Consider the following 3337-nt stretch of genomic DNA (forward strand, 5'->3'; position numbering starts at 1 on the left):
AATAACTAATATCTATATAGGGTCTATTCGGAGCTGGCTGCTCTAAGCCCTTTCAGGTTCATAGATGAGAAAACGAGGCTGTGCTGGGGAGATGAGTTGCCTGAAGTCACGTGTGGTTGTGACAGAGTCAGAGTGTTCTCAGTCTTGGTCTTTCGCCACACTATGCTACTTCCTCAGATGCCTTTGTAGAGGGTCCCCTTTATTTTCTTTTCCCTCTTTCTTGCTCCCAGCACTTTAAAAAAATTGAGGTAAAACTTATAAAATTGCCATTTTAAAATATACATTTTTTTTTTTTTTGAGATGGAGTGTTGCTCTGTTGCCCAGGCTGGAGTGCAGTGGTGTGATCTCGGCTCACTGCAACCTCTGCCTCCTGAGCTCAAGCAATTCTCCTTCCTCTGCCTCCTGAGTAGCTGGGATTACAGGTGTGTGCCACCACACCCAGCCAATTTTTGTATTCTTAGTAGAGACGGGGTTTCACCACGGTGGCCAGGCTGGTCTCAAACTCCTGACCTCAAGTGATCCACCCGCCTCAGCCTCCCAAAGTGCTGGGATGACAGGTGTGAGTCACCACGCCCTGCCCTTTAGCAAATATGTCTTGAGGGCCACATGCACAGATGTGCCTGACTGCCAGCTTCCTTGTCACACCGCAGATCATTTCCACGTGGTAAACGGATGCATTAGTGAGAGGATGGCCCTGACAAGTCACTTTGCACGTGCTGGGATACAGTAACTGGCCAAGTTCAGAGCATTTTTGTATATTAAGAGAAATAGTGAGTTGTAAGAGCACTTTTTGGTGTGGAATATAGCTAATCCATAAAAAGGCCCCTTTCAAGCTCTGCTTCGAGAGCTGAACTTCTCTGTGATTGAGGAAAAGTTCAAAGGGAAATCACTCTGCACCTTCATCTCCTCCTTTCCCACTTCCACCACCCATGGCCAGCCTCTCCCCACATTCTCCATGAATGCTTGAGATAGCATGCTAACCAAAGGCTCTCCCAGCTTCCAGCACCCCTACCTTCCAAGCCAAACCACCCAGTTTAATCTTCTAGAACTGCAGTTCTTCTCACATCATTCTCCTACACAAAAAACCTTGTCAGCTCCCCCACTGCCAAATCTTACCATGCTATGCAAGGCCCCAGCCTACGTTTCCAGCCTTGTTTTCTATGTTCCCTCTTGGCTTCTTATGCTCCAAAAACTCGGAGTGCATTTGCTTTTCCTTGAAAGTGTCCTGTGTTTTCCCACCTTTGTGCTTTTGCTCTGTATCCTCTGCATCTGTTAGGAAGGCATTCAGCCGCAAGTAACATCACACGGAACCAGCACTGACTTAGGGAAAATCACACCCATAACAACAATTCCAGAGGTGAGCTCTTCAGGCTGCTGCAGCAGCTCAGCCCTGGCATCAGAGACCCAGACCCTTTCGATCTGTCTTCTCTGTCATCTTGGCAAGTTGGCTTGTTGCAATATGGTTATAAAGTGTTACAGTTCTAGGCATTGTGTCCATGTTCAAAGTAGGAAGAAGGGCAAACCTGTCATTATTGATGACTTTCCTTTTTATCAAATAGTAAAACCCTTTTCTGAAGCTCCAATAATCTTCCTCTTAAGTGTCATGTGTAGCCTTGTATCACATGGCTATCCCCCGCTAGCTGCAAGGGAGGCTGGGAAAGTGAGTATTTGGTTGGAAGAGGGAAAGGGAAAGGAGGGAAAGGAGCTGGGACTGGCTACTGGGAGAGCTCACTATCAGGGTCTGCCACACTCTTCCTTCCTCTCCTCCATGAAGTTCGGTTTTCTCATCCAGATACAAAAAACCTTTCCCCCTCTTGCTCCCAATGTACTACTTGTATCTTGATTTTAGCATACATATATTCTCATACATGGTAGCAACCAGTTAATTTTGTGTTTATCTTCCTTCGTAGACTAGAAGCTCCTGAAGAGCAGAGACCGTGCCTGGTTTAACTTTGCATTTCCTATAGCATCCAGCACTGTTCCTCAAACATAGCCTTTATAAAGATGTTTTGTTAACATTTCATGGATAATGATTTCAGTTTAAAAACTATACTTTTGTGTTGCTTGGTTGGAACTATTTGTACTATATTTCCTTTGTTAATGTTTTAGAATGTAGGCAGTTATTATAGCTGACGTTTGAGTTCTTGCTATTTGTCAAGCATGTGATAATACCTGTAAGAGCACAGCCCTGTAGGGACTCAATAAACACTAGCTATTTTCATGCCCTTCAAGCTTCATCACATTCCAGTGCAGTAGATGCCATCGTTATGCTCGTTTTACAGATGGGACACCTGAGGATTCAGAGAGGTTAGTTTCCTCTCTCCAAACACCAAGTTGCAGAGCTGTAGTTTCAATCCTGGTCCATCTGAATCTGAGATCCATGATTTTAACTATTAGTTACACTATCTCCAGACCAGACTATGTTTCCTTCCCTCCTCCAAGAACTGCAAGTTAATGGAGGTTATGTTCTTGGGCATTGATTTATTTTTTCATACCTTTTTCATCTATTAGACAAGACATCAATTGATGCATTGGCCTGGATGACACCAAAGGAAACCATTTGTCCTTGTCAGCCTGCAACTGGCCTGCAGCAGTCTTGTCAGCTGTCATGCTCTGTGACCAGGTGTCTTAGTCCTTTTCCTGTTGCTTGTAACAGAATACTGGAAACAGAGCGATTTATAAAGAAAAGGAATTTATTTCTTACAGTTTTGGAGGCTGAGAAGTCCAAAGTCAAGGGGCTGCACCTGGTGAGAATCTTCTTTCTGGTGGGGACTCTGAAGAGTCCTGAGGTGGCACAGGACATCACATGGGGAGGGGTCTGAGTGTGCTAGCTCAGGTCTCCCTCCCTCTTCTTATAGAGCCACTGGTTCCTCTCCCATGTTAGGCCATTAATCAATCCATTAATCCTTTAATGGATCAATTAATTAATGAGGACAGAGCCCTCATGACCCAATCACCTCTTAAAGGCCCTGCCTCTCAAGACCGCCACATTGATGATTAAATTTCAACACGACTTTTGGAGGGGACAAGATATTCAAATCACAGTGCCAGGTAAGTCCCCTGAACAGGCCCAGAAAATCCATGCCCTGCAAATTGATCCTTTCCAAATCCACACCCTCAGACCAACACCTGGCCTGACTCTGGTCACATCAAGGCTCATCACTTCAGCTCCATTCATAGAAATGATCTTGGGTCTCTTTCCTCATTCTTTTGATCTTTGATTACACTTGATTCCTTACCCCCTTTGGCTTTGTTTCCGACAGTAGAATTTGGATTCTCTAGCCTGGTCCAAAAAACTCCTTAGAACATAGTTTTACTTGCCTTGGGTCTTCCTGTT

The sequence above is a fragment of the Homo sapiens genome, chromosome 7, assembly GCF_000001405.40.
Source record: "Homo sapiens chromosome 7, GRCh38.p14 Primary Assembly".
Lineage (NCBI taxonomy): Eukaryota > Metazoa > Chordata > Mammalia > Primates > Hominidae > Homo > Homo sapiens.